The sequence below is a fragment of the Homo sapiens genome, chromosome 4 (assembly GCF_000001405.40).
Source record: "Homo sapiens chromosome 4, GRCh38.p14 Primary Assembly".
NCBI lineage: Eukaryota > Metazoa > Chordata > Mammalia > Primates > Hominidae > Homo > Homo sapiens.
This window is the reverse complement of record NC_000004.12, coordinates 139337419-139365413: the sequence shown is the minus strand read 5'-3', so window position 1 is coordinate 139365413 and position 27995 is coordinate 139337419. Positions and strand designations below refer to the sequence as shown.

The window sequence follows — 27995 nt, the reverse complement described above, 5'->3', positions numbered from 1 at the left end:
CTACTTCACTTGGACTCCAAAGTCTAGGCTTCTTCTATGCTATACTAAACTCCAGATGATTAAAAAGACAAATGTAGGCCGCATGTGGTGGCTCACACCTGTAATCCCAGCACTTTGGGAGGCCAAGGTGGGTGGATCACCTGAGGTCAGGCGTTCGAGACCAGCCCGACCAACATGGAGAAACCCCGTCTCTACTAAAAATACAAAAATTAGCCAGAAGTGGTGGCAGGCGCCTGTAATCCCAGCTACTTGGGAGGCTGAGGCAGGACAATTGCTTGAAACCAGGAGGCAGAGGTTGCGGTGAGCCAAGATTGTACCATTGCACACCAGCCTGGGTGAAAAGAGCGAAACTCCATCTCAAAAATAAATAAATAAATATTAAAATTTATCATGAAGCATTATTAGTACTACCTCTATAGAAAAAAAGGCAGCAAATACACTTTTGTTCCTACTAATCACCACTGTTTCAGCAACTCTAACCATACCAGAAGACATAAGGGGGAAAGGTATAAATATTGAAAGAAATAAAACTACTGCCATTTACAGATTAACATACTGGCCTACATAGAAAATTTTCAAAAATCAACTGAAAAATGATTCAACCTAGTATCAGAAACTTTCTGGAAGACAAGCTAATTCTACCGTGTATGCATAAGCAAAAATCTGCATGTAAAAACACGAAAATTCTAAAGACACAGTGTTAGATTGAGAAAAATGGATCATAACAACAGAAACCTATCTGTGTACTGATGTCAATACCATGTAGTTTTAATCATATCTTTAATATATGTTAGACCAAGAAACCATGCCTATGACCTACTACATTATTTTTTTCAGAATTTATCATGATAAAGGTAGCATTTGAAATCAGCGAGGAATACAAAAACCTACTCAATAAATATTACAGAGGAAATAGCAGTCTATTTTGGGGAGGAAGGGAGGTGGAAAGCCACCCTCCACCTTACAACGTATATAAAAATTAACTCCAAATGTTTAAAGAGCCAAATCTAAAAAATTGCAAAGCAGAAGTATTAGAAGAAAAACACAGAAGATATTCATAAATATATTTTAAATTTTTAAGTAGAAAAAGCCTTTCTAAGCAAGACCTAGAAGCCACAAAAAAAGACTAAATATTAAAAATTAAAACTTGTATATAATGAAAGATACTCATCTTAAAGGATAAAACCTAAGTGAAAAAAAGAAAACATATAATCCACTCCATTAAAAATCTAGAAATTGGTCAAACATTGTGGCTTATGCCTGTAATCCCAACAATTTGGGAGACCAAGGCAGGAGAATCACTTGAGCCAAGGGGCTCAAGACAAGCCTGGGCAACATGGCAAGACCATGTCTCTACAAAAATAAATTAGCTGGGTGCAGTGGCACGCACCTGTAGTCCCAACTACTCAGGAGGCTGAGTTGAGAGGACTGCCTGAGCCCAGGAGCTCAAGGCTGCAGTGAGCTATGATCGCACTAGTGGACTCCAGACTGGGCAAAAGTATGAGATCCTGTCTCAAACAAAACAAAACAAACAAACAAATAAAATATATTAATTGTAAACTAGATATTTTGCCCAACATACAAAAATGTAAAAGAACAATAACCTTCAGAGCTGGCAATAATGTAAAATAAAAGAAAATCTCAATACCCATGTTGGTGGTAATAAAAACTGATGAACCTTTTATCCCAAATTCTCATATCCTTCAACCCACCGATTTCCACTTCTAATAATCCATGCTAAATAAATATGCACATAATTATGTACAAGGACATTTACTATAGTACTATAATGGTGAAAAAATTCACATAGATTCCTACAGTCACTAAAATGTTAACAGTGAAAATAATAATTATGATATGCAGACATGGAGCAATACTATTAAATGGGGTAAAAAGTCTAAGTTGCAGAACACTGAGTATGATATAAACCCAATTATGGACTAAAGAAAAACAAATCAAACAAGAAACCCTGCAAAGAACCATCCTGAAATGCATGTGTATATGTACACATAGAACTCTGGAAACTAGTTGTGCATAAAGGGAATTGATCCTTTCACAGGGATAATTGCTGGAATGAAGAATGGGTGGGAGAAAAGTGAAAGGGGATCTTCATATTTGCTAAGTATACTTCTGTATTAATAGTCTCAGCTTTGAAAAGTTAATTGTGTATTATTTGTATAATTTGAAGAAGAGAAGGAGGGAGGCAGAAGAATAGAAAGAAAAACAAAAGAAGCCAGAGGGTCATAGCTCTCAACTTTAACAGTAAATTGTCCAGCAGATTCTTCTTACTGGTGTTTTCTTCTAAGTTGAAGCAACACCAACAGGTAGAAAGAGATTCAAGTGATATCTGTACAAAGGCTTCAGTATGTGACCTTAGAAATTTCTAAACTGTCCTTAGGCAACAGGAAGTAAAACTTAACGACAAATTAGCAAAATAATTCAAAAGCTGTTTAGCAGGAAGAAGGATATAGAAAGTAGCCAATCATATCCTCAAAAAAGAAATAGGCTTAAAAGAAAAAAAAATTAAACACACTTTTTATGCCCCAATTCCTACAACATTTTTGCCATGAGTAAGGCACAAAATTCATATTTTTGTACGTATGAGATCACTCATTCTCAGGTTCTGTCCCAAATAACTGTCTAAGAAAGACTTCTCCCTAGTCATTCCGATACCCTACTATAAAAACGGTACATTAAAAATGAGTCAAATGATAAGTCACTGTGCAATTTTCCTAGCTTTATCCCAAGCTGGTTTTTAATGTTCAAGCAATATTCATTTTTAGTAGGTTAATTATAAATTACTATTAAAAAGAGGAATAGGCTGGGAATAGTGGCTCATGCCTGTAATCCCAGCACTTTAGGAGGCCAATCCCAGCACTCTGGGAGGCCGAGGTGGGCAGATCACTTGAGGTCAGGGGTTCGAGACCAGCCTGGACAACATGGTGAAACCCCGTCTCCACTAAAAACACAAAATTAGCCAGGCGTGGTGGTGGGCACCTGTAATCCCAGCTACTCAGAAGGCTGCGGCAGGAGAATCGCTTGAACCTGGGAGGTTGCAGTGATCCGAGATCATGCACTGCACTCCAGCATGGGAAACAGAGCGAGACTCCATCTCAAAAAAATAACTAGTAATACTAATAGCCAACACTAATGTAGAATTATAATACTAATTATACAATTAGCAATCTAGTACCTGTAAAATAGTTAGCAATTTATAATTTTGGGTAAACCAGATATTAAATGTAAAACTCATAACATGCAAACTTCTTAAATGCCAATGAATAACTGCAAATTAAATTCTTGTTTAACTTTGGAAGCATAAAAGTAAACATTTTTCTTTTGTTGTTTAGAGAACCTTGTATAATATCTTTCCTCGTGGTGCTCAAGACATGGAGCAATACTATTAAATGAAAAACATAATACACATAAATACACATAAACACATCAGAGCACAAGAAGAACTCTGAATATTATACCTGTATCAGCTTCGTGTTCTTTATTCTCATCTGTAAGGGGGTTGTCATGAAGCTTCAAATAGATCTCTATAGCAATTCTTGCTGCCTTGAAGTAAAATGGATGCTGTCGAAGTACATCTTCTAGTTTTAATAAGTCCACATATGATCTAAGGGTAATCTTCCTCATACAGTATGTATGAAAGTCAAACTGGTCATCAGTGATTTCTATAAAATGCTAACAAAATTATCTTTTTATTATTATACCGAAGTACAGCAATGGCTAAGAAAACTATAAAATCAAAGCATTGGAATACTTGTTACTTTGGCATGAAAAAAACTAGTAAAATTTTAAAAAAACAATTACAATTATTCAACAGGAATATTTTGCATTTCAAATAAGCAAATACAGTTAGCCATTGTCTAGCACAGGATATGGCATACTGCAGGCACAGAATCATTTGTTGAAAAAGGAAGCTTTAAAAATGTTTATTCATTATCCCTTCCTTAATTATACTTAAAGCTATTGTGACAACATCAAACATAATTTATTTACATAGTAGTGCAAGTAGACTCACATGTTAAACATTGAGTTTTTATATTTAGAATCATTTGCAAAGGATTATAAGATGTATTTGATAATTTTTTTTTGAGGATACAAATCTGAATCCTATGCAATGTGATGCTGGTATGTGGAAAAGAAATCAATTAGCAAGTAAGTCAAGCAATCAGGAACTTGATGCATTTCAACTAAGCTTTGGTATTCTATACTTGACAATATTGCAAATGTGAAATTAGTTATATAAACTATGTTTATCTGTGTAAAACACAAAAAAGAAAAACCAACCACTAGTCATGGAAATGAGTCAGACGTGAAGAGAATTAAGAAAACAATTTTATCAAACAGCATGAAATTAGATAAGCTACAGAAGAAATATTGTGAAAAGTCTTCCAACATTTATATCTTACCAAGGGTATATGGCATCATCAATAAATTCTACAATGAACAGGGTCCTAGGAGTACTTTAATCAGCTGTGTATGTACTACTAAAGCGGCAGCAGCAATTTGGAAGGTTCAAAAATCAATAAAAACATAGCCAAGATACAAATTTTCCATAAAGTTTTTTAAAAAAGAGTTCTTACCACAAGACAATAGAGACCCTGGCTGAAAATGCAGTCTATATTTCCAGTATGAAAACTGAAAAAAGTGAATACTGATTTTAAAAAGCACCTACTATGAATTATAAAGAAATAGAAGAGAAAAAAACTATGAAATTTGTCCAAAACCATCGACAGAATAAAACAAGAAAACTTTTATGTAGAAGGTACTTACTCTCTCAATCTCATGACATTTCTTAAGTGCTTCACCAAATTTATTCATTGCTTTATAAGCCTGGGCACATTCTGTTTGGAACCACATGCACTGCATTTCATTCAAATTCTCTACCGCTGATGTTCCTTCCTATACAGAAATCAAATATTTTCAAGATCACTTTTTATCATAGACATCATTCTACCACAGAATTTTAAAAAACAAAGATGTTAAGCTGATTGGGACTCTTTCAAAAAAATTTTTAAAACATTCTTAAAGAATAGTTAACATGGGAAAACAACTGATATTCTCTAACTACTAAAAATAATTTGTAGTTTCACAGGTGAAACTGTGAAACTTTTGAACACACACTGTGTGTTCAACACTGTGAAACTTTGAAACACAAATGTAGTTTCAAAGGTCTACATAATTGAGGGTAGGGATTAATACAAGAAAAAGAACACCACCACATAGCAGGTATTCAATAAATTTTAGTTCCCTTGACCCCTAAAAAATTTATCTGAACGTACATGAATATAAACCAGTTTAAAAGTCCATTGTACAACCCTCTAAATGGAAAATCCTTTATATCAATGTTGACTCCAGTATCTTCTGATACAGTGATTTAATTAAAATCTTGGCTATTACGGTGTCAAAAATATTAAAGACAAACTTTGAAAAATAAGCATGTTATACAAGTATGAACTGGCTCATGTCTTCTTTATTCATAATTAAGAACACTAGCTGTACAAACCCTTGTAAACTTTGAGCACATTTCTTCAGCTTCTTTAATCAGGTTGGCTTTTAGCATGTATTTTGCACATTTGGAGTTGATAAATCTGTCTGCTGTGTCCAAGGCCTGGGCCTCATCCATCCACCTTGCAGCTTCTTTAATATTTCCAGCATGCTTATAAGGTACAAAAGCAAAATAAACCAGTTAGCATGCTAAGTTTACTGTGCAGGTAATTCATTATCTGTTGATAAATAATTTAAAAACAAATGAAAGTAAAGGCATTCTTGTGACTCTTAGATGCTAATCAATATAAAGAAATGCATTCTTCCATAATATAAGTTCTGATTCCTTTTTCCAGCCTTCTAGAATGTAAGCTGTCTGACAGTAAAGATTTATTTTAATAGTTTTGTCTACTGTTAATATCGCCATTGCCCAAAACTGCCTGGCACATAGTAAAAATACTCAAAAATAATTGTTAAAGAATAAATAAGGCCGGGCGCTGTAGCTCATGCCTGTAATCCCAGCACTTTGGGAGGCCGAGCCGGGTGGATCACTGAGATCAGGAATTCGAGTCAAACTTGGCCAACATGGTGAAACCCCATCTCTACTAAAAATACAAAGTAAACCAAGGGTGGTGGCGCATGCCTGTAATCCCAGCTACTTGGAAGGCTGAGGCAGGAGAATCACTTTAACCCAGGAGGTGCAGGTTGCAGTGAGCTGAGATCATGCCACTGCACTCTAGCCTGGGTGACAGTAAGACTCCATGTCAATAAAAAATAAATAAATAATAACAGAAATCTTTTTTTTTTTTGAGATGGGAGTCTCACTCTGTCACCCAGACTAGAGTACAGTGGCACAATCTTGGCTCACTGCAACCTCCGCCTCCCGGGTTCAAGCAATTCTCCTGCCTCAGCCTCCCGAGTAGCTGGGCCTGCCACCACACTTGGCTAATTTTTGTATTTTTAGTAGAGATGGGGTTTCACCATATTGGCCAAGCTGGTCTTGAACTCCTGACCTTGTGATCTGCCCACTTTGGCCTCCAAAAGTGCTGGGATTACAGGCATGAGCCACAGCTCCCGGCCAATACTAGAAGTCAAAACATAATTAAATGTGAAAGTCATAAAAGGCATAGCCAAATCTGTACGCTAAAGGAACCATGGAAACATTACTGATTAGGACCATTAGTAGACATTCCCCAATGTTCCTCATTCTAAGTTACCTAACTAGTCCATCTGGCAAAGCTTCAAAACTAATGAGCCATAATCTAGTTTTAAAAAGTGCTTCCTGGCACATGTATACCTATGTAACAAACCTGCACGTTGTGCACATGTACCCTAGAACTTAAAGTATAATTTTTTTAAAAAATCTAAAAATAAAAAAATTAATAAAAAAAATAAATAAAAAATCAAAAGTGCTTCTTTAGCCAGGTGCAGGGGCTCATGCCTACAATCTGAGCACTTTGGGAGGCCAAAACAGGTGGATCACTTTAGGCCAGGAGTTCGAGACCAGCCTAGCCAACATGGCGAAACTCCATCTCTACAAATAATACAAAAATTAGCTGGGTATGGTGGTGCATGCCTATAATCCCAGCTACCACTCCGGAGGCTGAGGCATGAGAATTGCTTCAACCCGGAAGGCAGACATTGCAGGGAGCTGAGATCGCGCCACTGCACCCCAGCCTGGGTGATGCAGTGAGACTCTTTCTCTCTCTCAAAAAAAAAAAAACAAAAACAAAAACAAACAAAAAAACTTCTTAAATATTACTTAATTTCATTATTTTCTTGCTAAACAAATTACTGGTTTATTATCAGTCCCTCAAGAGCTTTCATTACTAAATTTTATTTGCAATATGACAGAGAAAAGCCAACTTTATTTTAAGATGATACTAAAATATATGACTAAAAATTCTCAAGCAAGGCCCAGGAGTTGAGAAGTCAAAAGAGATAACCTGTAGAATTCATAATAGAATCTTCACAGTTTCATCTCAATAACATTGCCAGATACTGATATGTTATCATACTCAAATTTTAATAGAAATACACATTTCACAGCAAATAAAATTTCTTTTGGATTACCTATATACTCTTACTCTCCAAACCCAAGAGAATTACCAGATACGTGTGAATACATATACATTAATGTATGTACGTATGTGTGTGTATACGGATATAGATAAATCACCAAATTAGCATGACCACAAGTCTCAAAGTAATTGGACTGAGAAATGTACTATACTTGTTACTTCATGTTTTTTGAGTTATCAAATGTCACTTTTCCTATATTTAGAATCTATAAAATACAGAGAAAAAGTTCATGACAAGTCTCATTACCTTATAAGAAAATAGAAAAAAAGATTTTTACCTTATAGATTTTAGCTTTCACGAGAAAGAGTTCTATTAATGTAGGTGTACTTTCAATAGCAGTATTTATGTACTCCAAAGCAATAGATGGCTGACCAATTTTGTCATAATGTTGTGCCAAGTAGTACTGGACCCAAAGTAATGTGGTTGGTGGTTCCTCCTTTCCATCATCTTAGGAGAAGAGGGAGAAGAAACCAAGATGAGGCATTACATATATTAAGAGCACCCCCCAAAATGGTCCCTATGTTTATTAACAAGGGAGGTACTATGAAAGGAGTTTATTTATGTATCTAGCTATAAAACTCCTCCTAAGTTTATAAGATCTTTGGAAAGGTCCATATTTTCTTTTCTGCATCCTTATAACCCCTAGCACAATCCCTTTCATATAATAACTTTATGAAACAAACATGGGAGATAAATAAGGTCTAACTACCTAGAAAGAAAACTGAAACAGGTAGGGGGGAGACAAGCTGTACTAGAACTATGAGAGCATACTGATCAGGATGTTATTTATAAAGGGGGAAGAAATTAAAAATGTTCTCTATTCATGTGAGGTTAAAAAAAAAAAAAGCCCTGGCTGCTTAATTGAGTTTCTAGCTAATGCACCAAACTGTTATAAAATATACTTGTAATGTGGTTATTTTGAATTTGGTGATTATATTCTTAATATATTTTAATATGCTGAATATGCAAAGATGCATAATTTAAGTCAAATAAAAACTATACCCCAAAAATGAGATGACAAGTAAAAAAATTTTTATATTTTAGTTCATGATTTAATTTTAATATACTGACAAGAAAATGTGTAAGTTAAATATACAACCCACACGTTAAAAAATTCTTTTTTAATACAAATTTCTAAAATCTGAGAACTGATACGTGCTTTCAAAGAAAGCAACAGATTGCTTTTTAAAAAATTTTTCCTAGTAAAAGCAGGATGGCTCAGTGGACAAATAATAGGAGTGGAACTCACCAACTCCCCATCTGACAGATCTGCAACAAAAGTGCTGCATATTCTTGGGCAAGTCATTGAACCTCTTCCACATTTGTAAAATATGTAGGAAAATGCTGATAATCAAAGGAACATTATGATGATTAACCAATGAAATCATGGAAAAAAGTACTATTAAATTAATCTGAGACCTAGAAACAATGACCAACCCAATAGCAATATGCACCCAGGGTCCCATACCGGGCTTTCCCACTACAGGAACCAGAACTCCTAGGAAAAACAATTGATTCCAGATCTGCAGTGGCAGCAATAAACTGGAATATCTTGTCTTATTAACACCCAAGAAGTTATCAACTACTACTATGGTATGTAAAGAATGGGACCATTTGAGATTTGTAATGTGGTTATTTTGAATTTGGTGATTATATTCTTAATATATTTTAATATGCTGAATATGCAACATCAAATATTTGATATAAAACATCAAATATGCTTAAATCCATGAATTCATAATACTTTTTAAAAACGTATTTGCTGTCTTTGAAGGATGCTATTGAACCAACAATTCATTATTTTGAAAACTGGTAAAGAAATTTTAAAAAGGAGGGAGTGGGGAGAAAAAATCCATTTATCATGCTTTTCCTATGTAAACTGAAACATTGTGTAAACAGGTAATAGAGGAAGAAAATTTTCTCTTTTAAAATAATAAAGAATAATAGAGTATCACCAGTTGGTAATTCTTAACAGTTGCTAACATATAAAACTAACACGTATGCCTACTAATAGAAGAATATGCCACCACCTGTAAGAATCTCACTCACTCCTCTGTTTAAAAAACAAAAGCAAAACCATCAAAACAATATTGAATCTCATCAAATCTCTAGTTGGACCTGTCCATTAGAAGATTCTGTCATGACAGAAGTGTCCTGTATTTTCCCTTTCCAACATGGTAGGCATTAGCTATATATAGCTATTGAGCAGCACTTAAAATGTGGCTACTGCAACCAAGGAATGGAATTTATTTTATTTAATTTTTTAAAATTTTAATTAGCCACTGTGCTACTGGCTATCATACTAGCAACAAACTTCTACACTGAACTACCAGTTTATAGGAAATTCAGAGAGCAAGGAATAATGTGTTAAGCAACACATGGGGTACAGTCAGCAAACTCTAGACTGGGAAAACTGAAAAAAAAAATAAAAAAATTTCTTCAACAAATAAATTGCAGGAAAAGGGATAGGACAGAAACCCAAAAGATAAAAAGAGTTTAAGAGACACATCAACCAAATTCAAAGTACACATCTTATCTGAATCTTCATTCCAACAAACTTCAAAAAAGGAAAGGCAAAAAAAAAATGGCATTTATAACATAACTGGAAATGTGAACATGGACTGAATAGTTATTATTAAGAAAGTATTAATTTTTGTCAGGCGTGGTGGCTCATGCCTATAATCCCAGGACTTTGGGAGGCCGAAGCAGGCGGATCACTTGAGGTCAGGAGTTCGAGACCAGCCTGGCCTGGCCAATATGGTGAGACCCCGTCTCTACCAAAAATACAAAAATTAGCCAGGCGTGGTGGCAGGCACCTGTCCCAGCTACTCGGGAGGCTGAGGCAGGAGAATCACTTGCACCTGGGAGGTGGAGGTTACAGTGAACTGAGATCATGCCACTGTACACCAGCCTGGATGACAGAGCAAGACTCCATCTCAAAAAATATATATATTAATTTTCAGGTATGAGAATGGTATTAGGTTATGTTTTAGGTTAAGTCCTTCTCTTTAGACATACTGAAATATCCATGGATAAAATGATGTGATGTTTGGATCTGCTTCAGAACAATATGGGAGTAGAGAAAAGTAGGAGAAGCTATAAATAAATTCAATTATGAATTAAAAATTATTGAAGCTGAGTGCTGGGTAAAGAGAGGATTATTATACTGTTGCATTTAGTTTTGTAGATGTTTTTAAAATTTTACATAACATTCTTTTCAATAAACTAATGCGAGGTGGGACACAGTGGCCCATGCCTATAATCTCAACACTTTAAGAGGCCAATGCAAGAGGATCACTTGAGCCCAGGAGTTTGAGACCAGCCTGGGCAACAAAGTGAGACCCTAAGTCTACAAAAAATCTAAAAATTAGCCTGGCATGATGGTGCATGTCTGTGGTCCCAGCTACACAGAGGACAGAGGCAGGAGGATCACTTGAGCCCAGGAGGTCGAAGCTGCAGTGAGCTGTGTTCACACCACTGCACTCCAGCCTGGGGAACAGAGCAAGATCATGTCTCAAAAAAAACCCAAAACACAAAAAACAAAGATAATGTAATTCTCTTCTAACCAAATATCATCACACAATGTGCAAATTAATGGATCTCCCTCTCAAAGAGAAAAAAATTTAATGCACTGTGCTTACTGCCTAAGTAATAATACTGACCTTCTGATTAAGAATTTCACAATGTATTAAAATTTTCAAGATGTTTTTAAAACATAAAACTTGAGGACTTACCATTGGGGTTAAATAACCGGCAGCTTTTTAGAGAGGTTTCATAACCTACTACTAACTCTTCTATGATTGCCACCTAGAGTACAAACACACAAACACACTTTAATAGAAAAAACACACATTTACTATTCTTATGCAAAATGTGTTATTTTCTACTAAAACACTAAATAAACACTCCAACACACACACCCTCCTTTATTAAAAATATCTTAACCTCTAGATACAAATTTTAAAATACATCATACTTTTGCACAGGTGTACATTAAGATGTAATTTTATAAAAACTTATTGGTTACTCCTTTTCAGCTGAACCAGAAATCAGGAAGAGTTGGACAAAGACAGGCAATATTGTGGATGATTTATATCTTGATTCTTTTAACAAAGTTTGTATAAATGAACACCCACAGTAAACATTTGCATTTAAGAATTAAATGCTATGTGAAAAGAGAAATTCTCTAAGTAGATGACAGTATTCAACTTTCAATTTCACAATCCAGGGTAAAACATTAGTAAAACTCAAAGAATACTCTGAGAGTTTGTTAGGTCCAGGAGAATGAGTGGCCATCCAGGTTCTGGTTTCTCTTGAGTCTTGACTATACTACTCGCTCCTGGCTTCCTGAGAGATCTCTGAGCATTTTTTATTTACTACTTCTGTTCTTTGTTTAATCCATGTTTAAGGGATTTCTATTACTATTATGGCTTTATTGAATGACCTCAACCTAACTGACTCAACAGACTAATATCAGCTCTTTCCAAAACCTCAATAAATTGTGAGGACTAAAGATTGCAGCTAGGTTATTCTGGTGCACCCATGTTCCCTCCTACAAGCTGAGCTACAAGCCTACTAAGACTGTTTTGTTTTCTCAAACATCTTTGAATCAGTTGCATTTATTATTCTAATGGCAGAATTCAGTATTGTGTAAACTTAAGATGTGAGAATGAAAATGACTGTTCCATAAGTTGAATACCAAGGAAAGACTAAAAAGATAAATTAGGTATTTTTAACCAGTTTAGATCTAAATCAAAATATCTTAAGTAGAAGAAAATCATAAAAATATAGGATTCTATACATAAGACCACTTCATAAACATCAAAGTCTGACTCTTTCAAAACTGGAAACAAAAGATCCTACTTGGCCAGGCATGGTGGCTCACATCTGTAATCCCAGCACTTTGGGAGGCCAAGATGGGTGGATTGCCTGAGGTCAGGAGTTCAAGACCAGCCTGGCCAACATGGTCAAACCCCATCTCCACTGAAAATACAAAAATTAGCCTGGTATGGTGGCACGTGCCTGTAATCGCAGCTACTTGGGAGGCTGAGGCAGGAGAATCGCTTGAACCCGGGAGGCAGAGGTTGCAGTGAGCTGAGATCACGCCATTGCACTCCAGCCTGGGCGACAAGAGTGAAACTCCGTCTCAAAAAAAAAAAAAAAAAAAAAAGATATTTTATGGATGTGATTTATGCAAGAAAAAACAAGTGAAACAGCAATCAAAAAAGCCCATACGTTGGGTCTCCAACAAAAGACCGGCAAATAAATGCACATTATGTAATTCTGGTTAAAGTGTTTCATATGTCTCATTTGCTCCATCTTTGACTCTTCAATGTAACTGATTTTTTAGAATCCAAACAATATGCCTTGATGACACTGTACTTATAACCAAAATAATCTAAAAATTAAAATTAAAATACCCTTGGCCAGGCACGGTGGCTCACGCTTGTAATCCCAGCACTTTGGGAGGCCGAGGTGGGCGGATCATTTGAGGTCAGGAGTTCAAGACCAGCCTGGCCAACACGGTGAAACCCTGTCTCTATTAAAAATACAAAAATTAGCCAGGCATGGTAGTACGCGCCTGTAATCCCAGCTAGTTGGGAGGCTGAGGCACAAGAATTGCTTGAACCCAGGAGGCAGAGGTTGCAGTGAGCTGAGGTCATGCCACTACACTCCAGCTTGGGTGACAGAGCAAGACTCAGTCTCAAAAGAAAAAAAAATAATTAAAATAACCTCTAAAGAAGCATTCTGAATATTATTAACATGTAGCTGAAAGAGTAAGCTGACTTATTAGAACATCAAAAAAACTCTTCTGACAGAACTTTTTGTCTACCAAATTTAAAAAGGAGAAAGAAGACTAAGCTAAAACTTAAGTTAAAAAAAAAACAAAAAACAAGCACACTCTGGCTTCTGACCATGAACAAGATGAAAGAAAATGGTGAAGAAATTATTACCTTATCAACTTTTTATAACCTACAGTGACTCATTAAAAGTTTATAGCAGAAAGGAAACAGAAAACAAGCAATAAGTTACTGGGCTAAAGAAAAAAAAGAGGATGAAATGGAAAAAAGAGGAATCAGAAGCATTTAAACTGCAAACTGGGAAGACTGACATGAGATTCACAAAACACGTACTACTGTGCAGAGATAATCAAGAATCAATAATTCCAAATACCGAGCAAAGAAATGGTAGCCAAAAGAAAGTATCATATTTCACTTTACCTTTTCTTTGTCTTTGTATAATGATCTTAAAGTATTGAAGACTGGTGGGCAACCCTTGCTGAAATTCATCCTTAGGAACTTATCCAAACATTCTTTAAACTTCTCACCTTGGAAGAGAAAAATCCTTTTCGCTTATATTTATCAAGTATTTACTTACATTTACCAAAGTATTTACTTACATTTACCAACTTACATTTAGCAGAGTTGTTAGACAACTCTAACAATGTATAGCTTAAACTTAATATGCATACTCATACTTAAAACCAAGAAAAGAAACTTTAAATCATAAAAGCATTTCTATTCCTTTGCAATTATTCTCACTTACCAGATAAAAAGTTTAACGGCAGCCTTCTTGGCACCAGTCCCCTGGGATATTTAGTCCAGGCTTCCTCATAAATTTTTAGCCGTTCTAACATATTAGCTGCAAACAAAGAAAAATTCTTTGTTATATATAATCATAAATTGTATATTTTTTCTGGAAAATTACGAACTTCTCAAAGTATATTAAAATTCTAATATTTAAAAGAAAATTGGAATTATTTGTAATCTTACATCTACTATTTCAACAATTATTTTAGACTATTTCTTTTCAATTTTTTTTATCTTAAGTACATAATTATCTTTATCCTGTTCTGCTTTAGGTAGGCTTTTAAAACCTGAGAACTTCTTTAGTTCTGAAAAAGCCTTGGTTATCATGTTTCCATATATTGCTTCTCCTACTATTCTCCTTAGCTTCTCCCCTCTAACTCCTCTCCTCTGATTTTGGCCATGGCCTCTCTTCCATTCAATTAAAATTTTTATTTTAGTAAGTAGGTTTTTCATTTCAGATTCCTAATTGGTACTTCTCCTAACTATTCATGTTTCATGGCAGCAATTACGTCTATCTTAGATTCCTCCATCATCTCTACTCTTCCTTTTGCAGACAGTGGTGATTACCATTCCTTGCTGGTGTTCCTAAATCAGTCTGAGAATCTTTGTTACAAAGTAATCTGCAAGAAGGTTTCTCTTGTATATTTCAATGGCTCACAACTAGCCTTGAAGGAAACAAATCAGATCACCTCTGCTGAGGATCCTGCCTATTTGTTTCTGGGCCTGTTCCCACAAGTGGACCCCACTTATGGGAGAGGATGACTGGGGGACCACGTCTGAATCCAAGTTTGAGTGACAGAAATTTAACCCCTCTTCCCACAAAGGAACAGTGATGCTCATTCAGCCTGGCTACATTTACGTGACCCTGGCAAGTCACTTCGATGCAGCCACAGCTTACCACAGAGCTTATTCTTGCTTTTAAGAATATATCTCCGTTTCTGTCAGTGGAAATTTCCTTTTATTTAAGAGGCAGTGTCTCACCATGTTGCCCATGCTGAGCTCAAACTCCTGGGCTCAAGCAATCCTCCCGCCCCAGCCTCCCAAAGTGCTGGGATCACAAGTGTGAGCCCCTACACCTGGCTTCCTTTCATGTTTTTGATGCTACTATGCATTTGTGAATTTTTTTCTAAAGTTGTCTCTAAAATTATTTTCTCAACCATTCTATAAATCTATAAAAGAGAGGTTTCAGAACATGCTCAATCTGTCATATTAAATAGAAGTTTGCAAATGTACTTTTGTATTCAGATTTTTTTTTTTGAGACACAGTCTCGCTCTGTTGCCCAGGGTGGAATGCAGTGGCACTATGCTGGCTCACTGCAACCTCTGCCTCCTGGGTTCAAGCAATTCTCGTGCCTCAGCCTCCGGAGTAGCTGAGACTACAAGGCACACATCACCATGCCAGGCTAATTTTTTGTATTTTAGTAGAGACAGGGTTTCACCATGTTGTCCAGGCTGGTCTCGAACTCCTGAGCTCAGGCAATCCATCCACCTCGGCCTCCCAAAGTGCTGGGATTACAGGCACGAGCCACTGCGCTTGGCCTGTATTCAGATTTCGAACCAATTCTTAACCACTATTATTCTAGTTGTGCTTTTCAATGAGTAAATAAAATATATATTAACAAAAGAAACAATAAAACTTAGTAAGTTTTAAACAATACTACCTGGCTTGAGTGCTTTTTCCAAGCCTTTGTAATAGGCCCAGTTTTCAGGATTTCTCTCTTGCAATCCTCTATAAACATCTGCAGCATCTTCCAAACGACATAGTTGCAACAGAAGTTCCCCTGATTAAAAACAGAAAAAAAAAAAATTTTAATATCTGAGAAAACCTTCCAATTAGAATTTTAACTTTTCCTCAAAATTTCTCTTAAAATCTCATTATAAATCAGTGCTGCTAAGTGGATGGACCTGGTTCCAGTTCCCTTAAGATCATTTACCAAGTTATGTTATGGTCTCCTTCCTTTTTTGAAGTTCACATTATTTAGAAATGCCATCCTCTTCACATCCTCAATTTATTCAGAAAATCTGTCCAATGCCCGGCCAGATTCTCACATTCACTCAACACACTGTCACCAAGCCATCTTCTACTCCTCAATTATTCCTGATATCATATGGAACAACTTCAGCATCAAAATTAATGACTCAATTCAATATCCTAACCTTATGATCCCTTAATCAGCTACAAAACAATTCTGCCATAGCAGCCCTTAATCTGGCTACATTAAAAACTATCTAGACTTTACCTTTTAATGTCTTCCAAGAAGCAATTAAGCATCCTATTTTAAGCTTAACTGTCTTTTCTTTCTGTCTCACTAATCCTACTATTCAACTTCAGAGAAAAAACTATCAACCTATCAGCAACTTGTCGACTCACTGTTGCCTTCCCTGGACTGCATGACCAATCACATCATCCCTGAATGATATTAGCAGCCCCAATTATCAAAAATCAATCTTAAAACCTAGGCTCTTTTGTTTACTAATTTTAAAGCCCAGATCATCCCAACTGTTTATTTGCTCCACATTTTCTTATGGAAGGAAACAAGCCAGATGAAGAGAGAGAGACAGTGGTTTCACTATTATATATGAGCTCCAAAGCCATATAAGCTTCAAATATTCAGGATTCCTTTTCTCTATCCTTAATGTGCTTCCCTTCATCCAAGGTATTATTTTTAAGCCACTACTTCACCCTTGCATCCTTCACTCTCTGTTATATCTTTCGCTCTCATTTGATAATAAAAATGAACACTTACTGAGTACTTACCATGTGCCAGTGACTTTTTTTTTTTTTTTTTTGTGATACAGTCTTGCTCTGTCACCCCAGCTGGAGTGCAGTGGTGCGATCGATCATGGCTCACTGCAGCCTCGACCTCCTAAAGCGATCCTACCACCTCAGCCTCCCTAGTAGCTGGAACTACAGGCATGTGCCACCATGCCTGGATAATTTTTGTATGTTTTGTAGAGATGGGTTTTCGCCATTTTGCCCAGGCTGGTCTTGAGCTCCTAGACTCAAGTGATCCACCCACCTTGGCCTCCCAAAGTGCTGGGATTATAGTCGTGAGTCACCGTGCCCGGCCACCAGTGACTTTTAAACGCTTCACATGCGTTAACTAATTCAATTCTCAGAACTCTATGAGATAGATTACTATTACTTTCATCACTTTAAAACTGAGAGGACTTAAGTAAACTTTCTTTTTTTTTTTTTTTTTTGAGACGGAGTCTCGCTCTGTCGCCCAGGCCGGACTGCGGACTGCAGTGGCGCAATCTCGGCTCACTGCAAGCTCCGCTTCCCGGGTTCACGCCATTCTCCTGCCTCAGCCTCCCGAGTAGCTGGGACTACAGGCGCCCGCCACCGCGCCCGGCTAATTTTTTGTATTTTTAGTAGAGACGGGGTTTCGCCTTGTTAGCCAGGATGGTCTCGATCTCCTGACCTCATGATCCACCCGCCTCGGCCTCCCAAAGTGCTGGGATTACAGGCGTGAGCCACCGCGCCCGGCCGACTTAAGTAAACTTTCTAAGAGTCTTGCAGATAGTGATGGAGTTAGGATTTGAATCCAAGCAATTTATCTGAAAGAGCACATATTCATTCATTCATTCTTTCTTTTTGAAGACAGGATCTCATTCTGTCACCCAGGCTGGAATGCAGTGGTGCAATCCTGGCTCACTGCAGCCTCAACCACTTGGGCGTAAGCAATCCTTCCACCTACGGCAGCCTCCTGAATAGCTGGGACTACAGATGTAAGCCAACACACCCAGCTAATTTTTTTATTTTTATTTTTTGTAGAGATGGGGTTTCCTTATGTTGCCCAGGCTGGTCTCGAACTCCTAGGCTCAAGTGATCCTCTGGTCTCAGCCTCCCAAAGTGCTGGGATTACAGACATGAGCCACCATGCCTTACAAGCCCATATTCTTAGTATCTGTACCAGCGGTTCTCAACCAGGGGCAGTTTTACCAACATTTAGCAATGTCTGAAGACATTTTGCTTGTCTCAGTAAGGGTGTTGAGTACTACTGGCATCTAAATAAGCTAGGAGCGCTACTAAACATCCTACAATGCACAGAAGAGATCTCCACCCTCAACAACTCAGGCCCAAAATGTCAACAGCGCCAAGGTTAACAAAGCCTGCACTATACTAACCAAAAGCCAACTTCATCAAAAACACTAAAAATAACCCATAGCTGAGTACGATGGTTCGCACCTGTAGTGGGAGGCTGGGGGTGGGGTTTGGGGGGAGGATCATTTGAGCCTTGTTCAAGTCCAGACTAGGCAACACAGCAAGACCTCACCTCTAAAATAAAAAATAAAAATAACCTGCACCTTTACTCCCCTCTACACTATACCCATCCTCGTTTCCTTCCCTCTATCTTCTACCTTTTCTGAGCAGAAGGAACTGGTGGTATAAGAATAAACAATAAAAAATTTTGCCTAGGCTGGGTGCGGTGGCTCACGCCTATAATCCCAGCACTTTGGGGGTCAGAAGATCAAGACCAGCCTGACCAATATGGAGAAAGCCTATGTCTACTGAAAATACAAAATTAGCCAGGCATGGTGGCACATGCCTATAATCCCACTACTCGGGAGGCTGAGGCAGAATCGCTTGAACCCGGGAGGTGGAGGTTGCGGCGAGCCAAGATCGCGCCACTGCACTCCAGCCTGAGAAACAAGAGTGAAACTCCATCTCAAAAAAAAAAAAATTTTTTTTTTGCCTAACTGTGCCCATTGATCCACTCTAAGAAGTTCCTGAGTGATCTTGACCATCTTATCTTCTCCCACCAACTATCCCTACCAGCAACACTGCCTTGAATTTCTAAAGATTGCTAGAATTTCCAAAGATTGATTCTACCCTCACTTCCCTTCTATTCTCTTTATACACCCTGTCCCATTACCTAACTCAAAGTAGGTATTCAATACATATTTTGTGGAATGAGCTGATAGCCTTATTTCTTATTTCATGTAGAAAACGGAAGCAATTAGAGGAAACTCCAAAATATGCATTACATCTACACATTTACTTGCCCGCCACTTACACACCACCACTACTTGTTGATGTGAACTATTCATGTTCTTACCTAAATTAATCCTTCACATGACATCAATCTACCACATGACATTCTCTCTACTGTATCAAATATTCTATCTCTATTGGATCACTCCCCAGTCAGCACAAATACACGCTATGAAAAACAAACAAACAAACAAAAACTTTTTGAGCCTGCATCCCATTTCACCTACCGGCACCCCATTTGTTTCATTTACAGCAAAACTCCTCAACTGAGTCATGTGTGCTTCTTATCTTCAGTTCCTCTACTCCCACTCCCTTTTTTTTTTGATACGGAGTCTTGCTCTGTTGCCCAGCCTGGAGTGCAGTGGCACAATCTCAGCTCACTGCAAGCTCCGCCTCCCAGGTTCACGCCGTTCTCCTGCCTCAGCCTCCCGAGTAGCTGGGACTACAGGCGCCTGCCACCACGCCTGGCTAATTTTTCTGTATTTTTAGTAGAGACGAGGTTTCACCAGATTAGCCAGGATGGTCTCGATCTCCTGACCTCGTGATCCACCTGCCTCGGCCTCCCAAAGTGCTGGGATTACAGGGTTGAGCCACCGCGCCCGGCCTCAGTCTCTTTTAAATAGACTTGATGTTTGGGCTTTTACCATCCTTCTTCCAGAAGCTCAGAAAGTGCTTTTGTTAAGGTCACCAATGACTTCTAAATTGCTAAAAATCCACTGGTCAGCTCTGAGTCCTTTATCTAACTTTACCTATCTGCCATTCTTCCTCATTAATGAAGTTATCAAAGGGATCAAATGAAATAATTTGTCATTTATTTCCATAAAGAAACTTGAGGCCCAAGCCTTGACTCTGTTCACAGAGCTATTTAGTGGCCAATGAGACAAGTTTTTTCCAGACTTGCCATCTTTCCAGCAAGTCAGAAATTTCCTTCCTTTGTGATTAACAGACTACTAAAGAATGACTACTTCAAATGAAAGAAGGTTGTCTTGGATCTGCAGTTCACAAGAGAGCTCCCTCCAGAAGTCTTAGAATTCCAGTTTTTCTTATCAGTACCATTATCCTCCGACAAAAGTTTATCTGGCAAACAATGGCTATACCTATTATGCACATGGATGTATATTATACTTTTTGTGTTCAACCTCAAGGTGAGCCAAGGGAATGTGAAACCAGCAAACTTCAGTTCCCTAGACTAGCAAGGACAAAGCAGCATTTCAGAAGGTAATTTTTTAAAAAATCACTTGTCCTTTCATTACTTGTTATTCTTCTTTTATTTTCTATAATCACGCCCTCAACTTCTAAAACTGTTAAGACTCATTTTTCTCAGCCCTCTGCTGAGTGGGATCTACCCCTCCTATCACAATCTACATATTATGAACCCAAATCTCTGGTCTCCCTTTCTTCCAGAACTCATATTCTTTCTGTGTCATCGAAGACATTCAGATTAACCATAAAGACTCTCAGAAATATCCTATATGTATTTTAGTAAAGACTGATTCATCAATATATATTATTAGCAATAAATCTGGCACATACTACATACACTATAGTTTATTAATAAACTGTTTCTAAGAAATGTCATCCTCTGTCTTATAAAACTAATTGTCTCTTGTGTTTTGATCAAATTCCATAATATTTTTAATACAAAGATACTTTATTTAAAGAATGTTATGAGTCATTTCATTCAACTACTTTTCATTGTTCACAATCAACTTTCTCCTCTATCTACAATATTGTTTAAATGTACATTTTCCCACATCATAAACTATTAAAAGTACACGAGTAAGAAATAGATTTCCTATCATCAAAAAGCTGAATTATATGAAACTGTCAGCAGCAACTAGATTTTTCAGCCTTGCTCTGTCATATTTCAATATTAGAATAAATGACAATTCTTTTAAAAATACCTTTGGTTTCTTCTACAGCAAGTTTATCACAAATCTGCTTTTCATAGGTACAAAGATGTTCCAAAGCTTCTCTATAGAGACCTGCTTCCCGAAGAACTTGATTCTGATATAAGAGTAGTTCACTATATTCATAATCCACCTTGTCAGGGGATGTCTGTATATGGATATAAGGAATACTGACAGTAAGAATTTTATTTTCATATCAGAAAATTGTTCACAATACTCAAAAACATGTAAGAAGTCAAAGGATAACATCCGGTTGATAAAACTAATTTTTAAAAAATTCTTAAGTATCTACAGAGCAACTGAGTAAATAATGACAATATTAGGATATAACAGGTTGAATAAAATAATAATCCATAAGTCCTTACACACAATAAATATGGGGAAGAAGGGAAAGCTCTTACTCAGGAGTAGAATGCCAAATAATAAACCTACAAGGAATGACTAGAGTTAAGAGAATCACCATTTTGCGACTATCATAGTAATACTGATTCAGGCAAGAATCATAATCAATGAATGCTAAAACTAGATGGTGAAAGTTTGATGAGCAATAGGCTATTCAGTCTCAAACTGCATATTAAACACAAAGAGAGAAAAATACGTTTACAACTGCAAATACAACTTTCACCATGTAATCAAATGGAACGAACTGATGGCATGTGCCTCTTGATGTAATGAACGCAGAAGGACCCAATATCATTTATATGGTTTCCTGCCAAAATTATAAAACTCTATCTAAGAATGAGGAACCATCAGAAAAATCCAAATTGAGGGACATCCTACAAAAGCACAGCCTTCTTCAGAAATGTCTATGTCATAAAATACAAAGGAAGTTTTCAAAACTGTTTCAGATTAAAAGAGGCTGAAGAGAAATGATAACTAAATGTAAGGTATGATTCTTAATTGGATCCTGCAATGAAATCAAATTGCTAGAAAGGCTATAACTAGGACAATTAGTAAATTCTGAATATGGGCTGGGGATTAATTAGATAACAGTCTATCAGTGTTAAATTTCCTAATTTTTATAATCTATCCCTATAATACTATCTAGAGAACTGAAAACTATACAGTTATTTTTAGAAAATACACACTAAAGCATTTAGGGGTAAAGGAGCATGATGTCTTGCAATTACTCTCAAACATTTAAGGAAGAAAATTAAAATAGATAAATAGATACACAAATTTTAAAGTAAATGCACCAAATATTAACAATTAGTTTAGTATGAATGAACCCCTATGTAGAGTTCTTTGTGCTATTCCTGCAACTTTTCTATAAGTTTGAAACTATTTCAAAATTAAAAGTAAGCCAGACTATGCACATTATTTTTTTAGTTATACTTAGGATCAGACTTAGTAAAATGGCTTCTAGTTATTACCTGTTGTGTTTTCCTAAATTCTTCTAAAATCTTTGCTGCCATTTCATAATCTTCTAATAAATGGTAAGCAATAGCATAACCAATCCATGATGCTCTCTGCGCAGGTCGAAGCTGAAGTAACTGATACCTCGTTTCCTTTAAAAGGAAAAAAATAAACACTTTTTCTTAGGCTTTTAGTAACAGCAAGTGCTCCTTTAAAAGATCTCCATATTAGGCCAGGCGCAGTGGCTCACGCCTGTAATCCCAGCACTTTGGGAGGCTAAGGCGGGTGGATCACGAGGTCAAGAGATCGAGACCATCCTGGCCAACATGGTGAAACCCCGTCTCTATCAAAAATACAAAAATTAACTGGGCATGGTGGTGCACGCCTGTGGTCCCAGCTACTCAGGAGGCTGAGGCGGGAGAATCACTTGAACCCGGGAGGCAGAGGTTGCAGCCTGGCAACAGAGCAAGACGCCGTCTCAAAAAAAAAAAAAAAAAACACACATTAATTTATCCCACAACCCCAAGCATTTTACAACACAATGATGGGAACAATAATAGAAAATACTTCAAACATCCATATTGTGTAGCTTTATGGAGGCAAAGAAATATTTGTTAAGAACATAATGAAGCCTCCAAGCTAATCTTAGAATTTTTTTAAAACTTAAGACCAGATTTAAGTTTTTAAAACTTAAGACCAAACTTAAGACCCTTCTTTATTTCTTGATCTGCTCAGTCCCAGAAAAGAGGCAGGATGGAAAGAACAGCACAAAGGAAAAATATTCAAAAATGTTTTTAAAAATTAAGTGTCCAACTACAGAGTTAACATACATAAAGAGGAAAGAATATGAAAGAGGAACTAAATAGATCTAACACTAATTTAAGGGTTAAAATCGAAGCTACAAAAATATATTAGAGTCAGTGGAGGTAGAAAGAAGAAACAAAACATTTGTTTTTGCCAGGTGCAGCAGCTCATGCCCGTAATCCTAGCACTTTGGGAGAATAAGGTGGGGTGGACTGCCTGAGCTCAGGAGTTCAAGACCAGCCTGAGCAACATGGTGAAACCTCATCTCTATTAGAATATAAAAAATGAGCTGGGCATGGTGGCACATGTCTGTAGCCCCAGCTACTCAGGAGGCTGAGGCATGAGAACTGCTTGAACCCAGGAGGTGGAAGCTGCAGTGAGCCAAGATCATGCCACTGCACTCCAGCCTGGGCAACAGAGTGAGACTCTAATGTCTCCAAGAAAAAAAAAATTTTTTTTTTGTTTTGCTTTCCAGAAAAATGTGGGAAGTAAATGTTAGAGTTACATGTCAATACTAGACAAAGGCATTGTTTATTTGAGGAGTACTGATTTTCTTTTTTTTTTTTTTTTTTTTTTTTTTGAGACAGAGTTTCGCTCTGTTACCCAGGCCGGAGTGCAGTGGCGTGATCTTGGCTCACTGCAAGCTCCACCTCCCGGGTTCAGGCCATTCTCCTGCCTCAGCCTCCTGAGTAGCTAGACTACAGGCACCTGCCACCACGCCTAGCTAATTTTTTGTATTTTTAGTAGAGATGGGGTTTCACTGTGTTAGGCAGGATGGTCTCGATCTCCTGACCTCATGATTCACCCACCTGGGCCTCCCAAAGTGCTGGGACTACAGGCGTGAGCCACCGCACCTGGCCTGATGTTAATTTTTATCAAATTAAGTCAACCCTACACAGTAGGCCAAATCTGCCTCACCATAAAATAATTTATTTTTAAAGATCTGATTATTCCAATCATAAACATAACCACTGTGGTAGGAGGAAAAAAAAATTCAATTAAATTATTTTCAAAATGAAATAAAAAATTTATGTATCTGAAAGTACTCAAAGTTGTACATATTTTCCCCTTAGAATTAAAAAAAAAAGTCTCTATTTTACTTACCCTGTAACCCTCAAGATCTCGCATTTGAATCTGTAGTAAGGAAAGGTCCCTTAAGATTTGAAGATTGTCTTTATCCCATTTTAGTGCATTTCTGTAACACTTAATGGCTTCATCATACTTCTTGTCTGACCTCTGAAGAAGGCCATAAACGTGCCAACCTAAAGAATTTAGTTAAGGGTACAACCTACAAGTCAAAAATTACTATTCCAAACGACCTCCCAAAAAACTTGGAGAACCACAGCCATTTATAAAACTACAAGCTTAAAAAGAAGGGGAAGGGGAGGGGGAGATTGATTTCAAAGATATAAAGCAGTTTAATACAGTGGAAAAGAGCACAGCTTTTGCAGCCAGAGAAAATTAGGTCTTGCCTACCTTATCAGCTCTGTAACCTTGGACAAATCAGTCTCATTAAGTTTCCTCATTACTAAAATGTAAACAAATAGTCTATGCAGCAAATCATACTACTGACAACTAAATGGGATAACATATATAAAGTGCTCACTGGCTGGCACAAAGTCAATATATATATATGTAAACAGTTACTATATTATTAATAGTAAAAGGAAAAAGAAGGAATGGGTCTTCATGGAATCCAGTTATGTAAAGTCATGAAGATTTTATTTTCTTGAACTAACAAGATTCTTAGGACAACCCTTAGTGTAATACAAAGTTTCTAAAACTCAGCCACATATAAAATAAAAACATTCATTCATTTAACCGTAATTATTAAAACTTCTTTCCCTTTTTTTGAGACAGGTATTGCTCTGTCACCCAGTCTGGAGTGTCGTGGTGTGGTCTTTGCTCACTGCAACCTCCACTCCCTGCACTCAAGTGATACTCCCACCTCAGCCTCCTGAGTAGCTGCGACTACAGGCACACACCAGCATGCCAGCTATTTTTTTCTATTTTTGGTAGAGATGGGATCTCGCCATGTTGCCCAAGATGGTCTCAAACTCCTGAGCCCAAGCAATACACCTGCCTTGGCCTCCCAAAGTGCGGGGATTACAGGCATAAGCTCCCAAACCCAGCCTAAAACTTCTTAATAACTAAGACGTAGGTCATCAAAATAGCCTCCTATATTAAAAGATCTTAAAGTCTAGTAAAGGACAGATAAATAAGCAAAATTAAAGTAGGTTGTAAAAACTGCTATCAAGGAGGAGAATATTCCACTTCCCAAATACAGCCCTTTTTCACTTTAGATCTTGATTACTGTACCAGCTACCCAACCCACCTATCTTCAGTCTGTCTTCTTTTATTCTCCTACCAAAGTAATTGGGTTTTGTTGTTTTTTGTTGTTGTTGTTGTTGTTTGTTTGTTTTTGAGATGGAGTCTCGCTCTGTCACCAGGCTAGAGTGCAGTGGCATGATCTCAGCTCACTGCAACCTCTGCCTCCCAGGTTCAAGCAACTCTCCTGCCTCAGCCTCCCAAGTAGCTGGGATTACAAGCGTCTGCCACCACGCCCAGCTATAATTTTTGTATTTTTAGTAGAGACAGGGTTTCACCATGTTGGCCAGGATGGTCTTGATCTCCTGATCTCGTGATCCGCCCGCCTCCTAATTATTGCGTTTTTTAAAAGAGATGGTCTCGCTCTATCACCTAGGCTGGAGTGCAGTGGCACACTCATAGCTCACTGTAGCCTCAAACTCCTGGGCTCAAACAATCCTTCTACCCCAGCCTCCAGAGCAGCTAGGACCACAGGCACATGCCACCACCACATGCAGTTAATTTTTTATTTTCCATAGAGACGAGGTCTCACTATGATGCCCAGGCTAGTCTTGAACTCCTAGCCTCAAGTGATCGCTGCCTCAGCCTCCCAAAGTGCTGGGATTATGGGCATGAGTCACTGTGGCTGGCCCAAAATAATCTTTTTAAAACACACTCAAAAGAAAAACGGAAGTCCACTTCCCTTTCCAGAAACTTATAACGTTTCTTTCTGAGATCAAGCTCAAACTTCAATCTGGCCAGGTACAGTGGCTCACACCTGTAATCCCAGCACTTTGGGAGGCAGTGGTAGGTGGATCACTTCAAGTCACGAGTTCGAGACCAGCCTGGCCAACACTGCAAAATCTCGTCTATACTAAAAATACAAAAAACACCCAGGTATGGTGGCATGCACCTGTATTCCCAGCTACTCGGGAGGCTGAGACAGGAGTATTACCTGAACCCAGGAGGTAGAGGTTGCAGTGAGCCAAGATCACACCACTGCACTCTAGCCTGGGTGACAGAGTGAAACTCCATCTCAAAAACAAACAAACAACAACCTTCAATCTAACAACTTTTAGGCCAGAGGTCCTCAACAGAGTCAATAAAATACAGAATGTTGGCCAGGCATGGTGGCTCACACCTGTAATCCCAGCACTTTCGAAGGCCAAGATGGGTGGATGGCTTGAGGTCAGGAGTTTGACACCAGCCTGGCCAACATGATGAAACCCTGTCTCTACTAAAAATACAAAAATTAGCCAGGCTTGGTGCTGTGCACCTGTAATGCCAGCTACTTGGGAGGCTGAGGCAGGAGAATCACTTGAAGCAGGGAGGCAGAGGTTGCAGTGAGCTGAGATCGTGCCATTGCACTCCAGCCTGGGCGACAAGATCAAAACTCCATCTAAAAAAAAGCACAAACAAACAAAAAAAAACCCCAGAATGTTTAGGATGGCATGCATGAACTAAAAACACATATTTAATATTACACATTTTTAAAGCAAGTCAAAATATTACAAATTTTATTTGAAAAATAATCTTGATTTCCGTAATACAAATGACAAAGTGCAACTGGATCAAATCCTCTCAGCCGTTTGGATCATGGTTTTATAAACTAGGAAACACTACCCATTAAAATCTAGCTCCCATTACCTATCTTTCCACTCCCTCCCATTTCTATCACTAATATCCTGTATTTCAGGACTTTACCTCTCTTAAATATTGCAACAGCCACACAACTGACTCTCATCTTCATCTCCTAAAAATCCCACCCTCAAAGAGTTTAACATTGCCAAATATTTAAAGAAAATTATGTCCATCAAGAGGAACTCAAATAAATCATAATAAAACATTGGCAGAACACTATACAATCATTAAAAATGATGGAAAGACATCTATCTATGACAGTCTTAATAGTTAAGCCTTTGCTTGTCTTTCTAGTCCTCTAGTCACTCTCAATTCACATACTTCTGCTTTACTGGATTAGTGACAATTACTTGAATAAACCATAACATCTTATGTAATACTCCTAAATGTTCTGTAAATGTTTCTAATCAGTATCTTCCTTCACCAGACTGTAAGTTCTTTGAGAGCAAAATCTGTTATCTTTTCTTTGTCTGTACTAAGCCAAGGGCCTGGTAAACATCTGAAAAATTGCTAATTGTTTCAGCACTTAAAATTGTGTCAGCCCACAAAGTTGGTATAGAAATATTTGCTAAAGTCTATCTTAAAAATAGCAACCCACAATTTTTTCTCTATCCTCCCTCAGACATTTCTATTTGCTCTTACTCTTCCTTAATAAACTATTTATCCAATATGGTACTTAGCATTATCAGGGGCTATGTTATATATCTCATCATTAAGTCTTTAAACCAACACAGTGAGGTGGGTATGATTATCCCCATTTTACACATGAAGAAACTGAGCTCTAAGATCACACAGAAAGAAGCTGAA

The 27995-nt window shown here is 37.5% G+C and overlaps 1 protein-coding gene across 2 annotated transcripts in view; it reads right to left on the bottom strand.

Annotated features, from left to right (window-relative positions):
* The window catches only part of NAA15 (N-alpha-acetyltransferase 15, NatA auxiliary subunit), an 89880-nt gene that overhangs the window by 25971 nt on the left and 35914 nt on the right, over positions 1–27995 (bottom strand). For both annotated transcript variants that reach the window (NM_057175.5, NM_001410842.1), the window contains exons 4-14: positions 24345–24502; positions 22454–22588; positions 21075–21228; positions 15833–15952; positions 14128–14223; positions 13803–13909; positions 11316–11388; positions 7859–8028; positions 5519–5671; positions 4786–4914; positions 3477–3690 (exon numbers count right to left, since the gene is read on the bottom strand). In NM_057175.5, coding sequence (NP_476516.1) covers positions 3477–3690; positions 4786–4914; positions 5519–5671; positions 7859–8028; positions 11316–11388; positions 13803–13909; positions 14128–14223; positions 15833–15952; positions 21075–21228; positions 22454–22588; positions 24345–24502 — 1509 coding nt within the window. The remainder of the gene's footprint in view (positions 1–3476; positions 3691–4785; positions 4915–5518; positions 5672–7858; positions 8029–11315; positions 11389–13802; positions 13910–14127; positions 14224–15832; positions 15953–21074; positions 21229–22453; positions 22589–24344; positions 24503–27995) is intronic.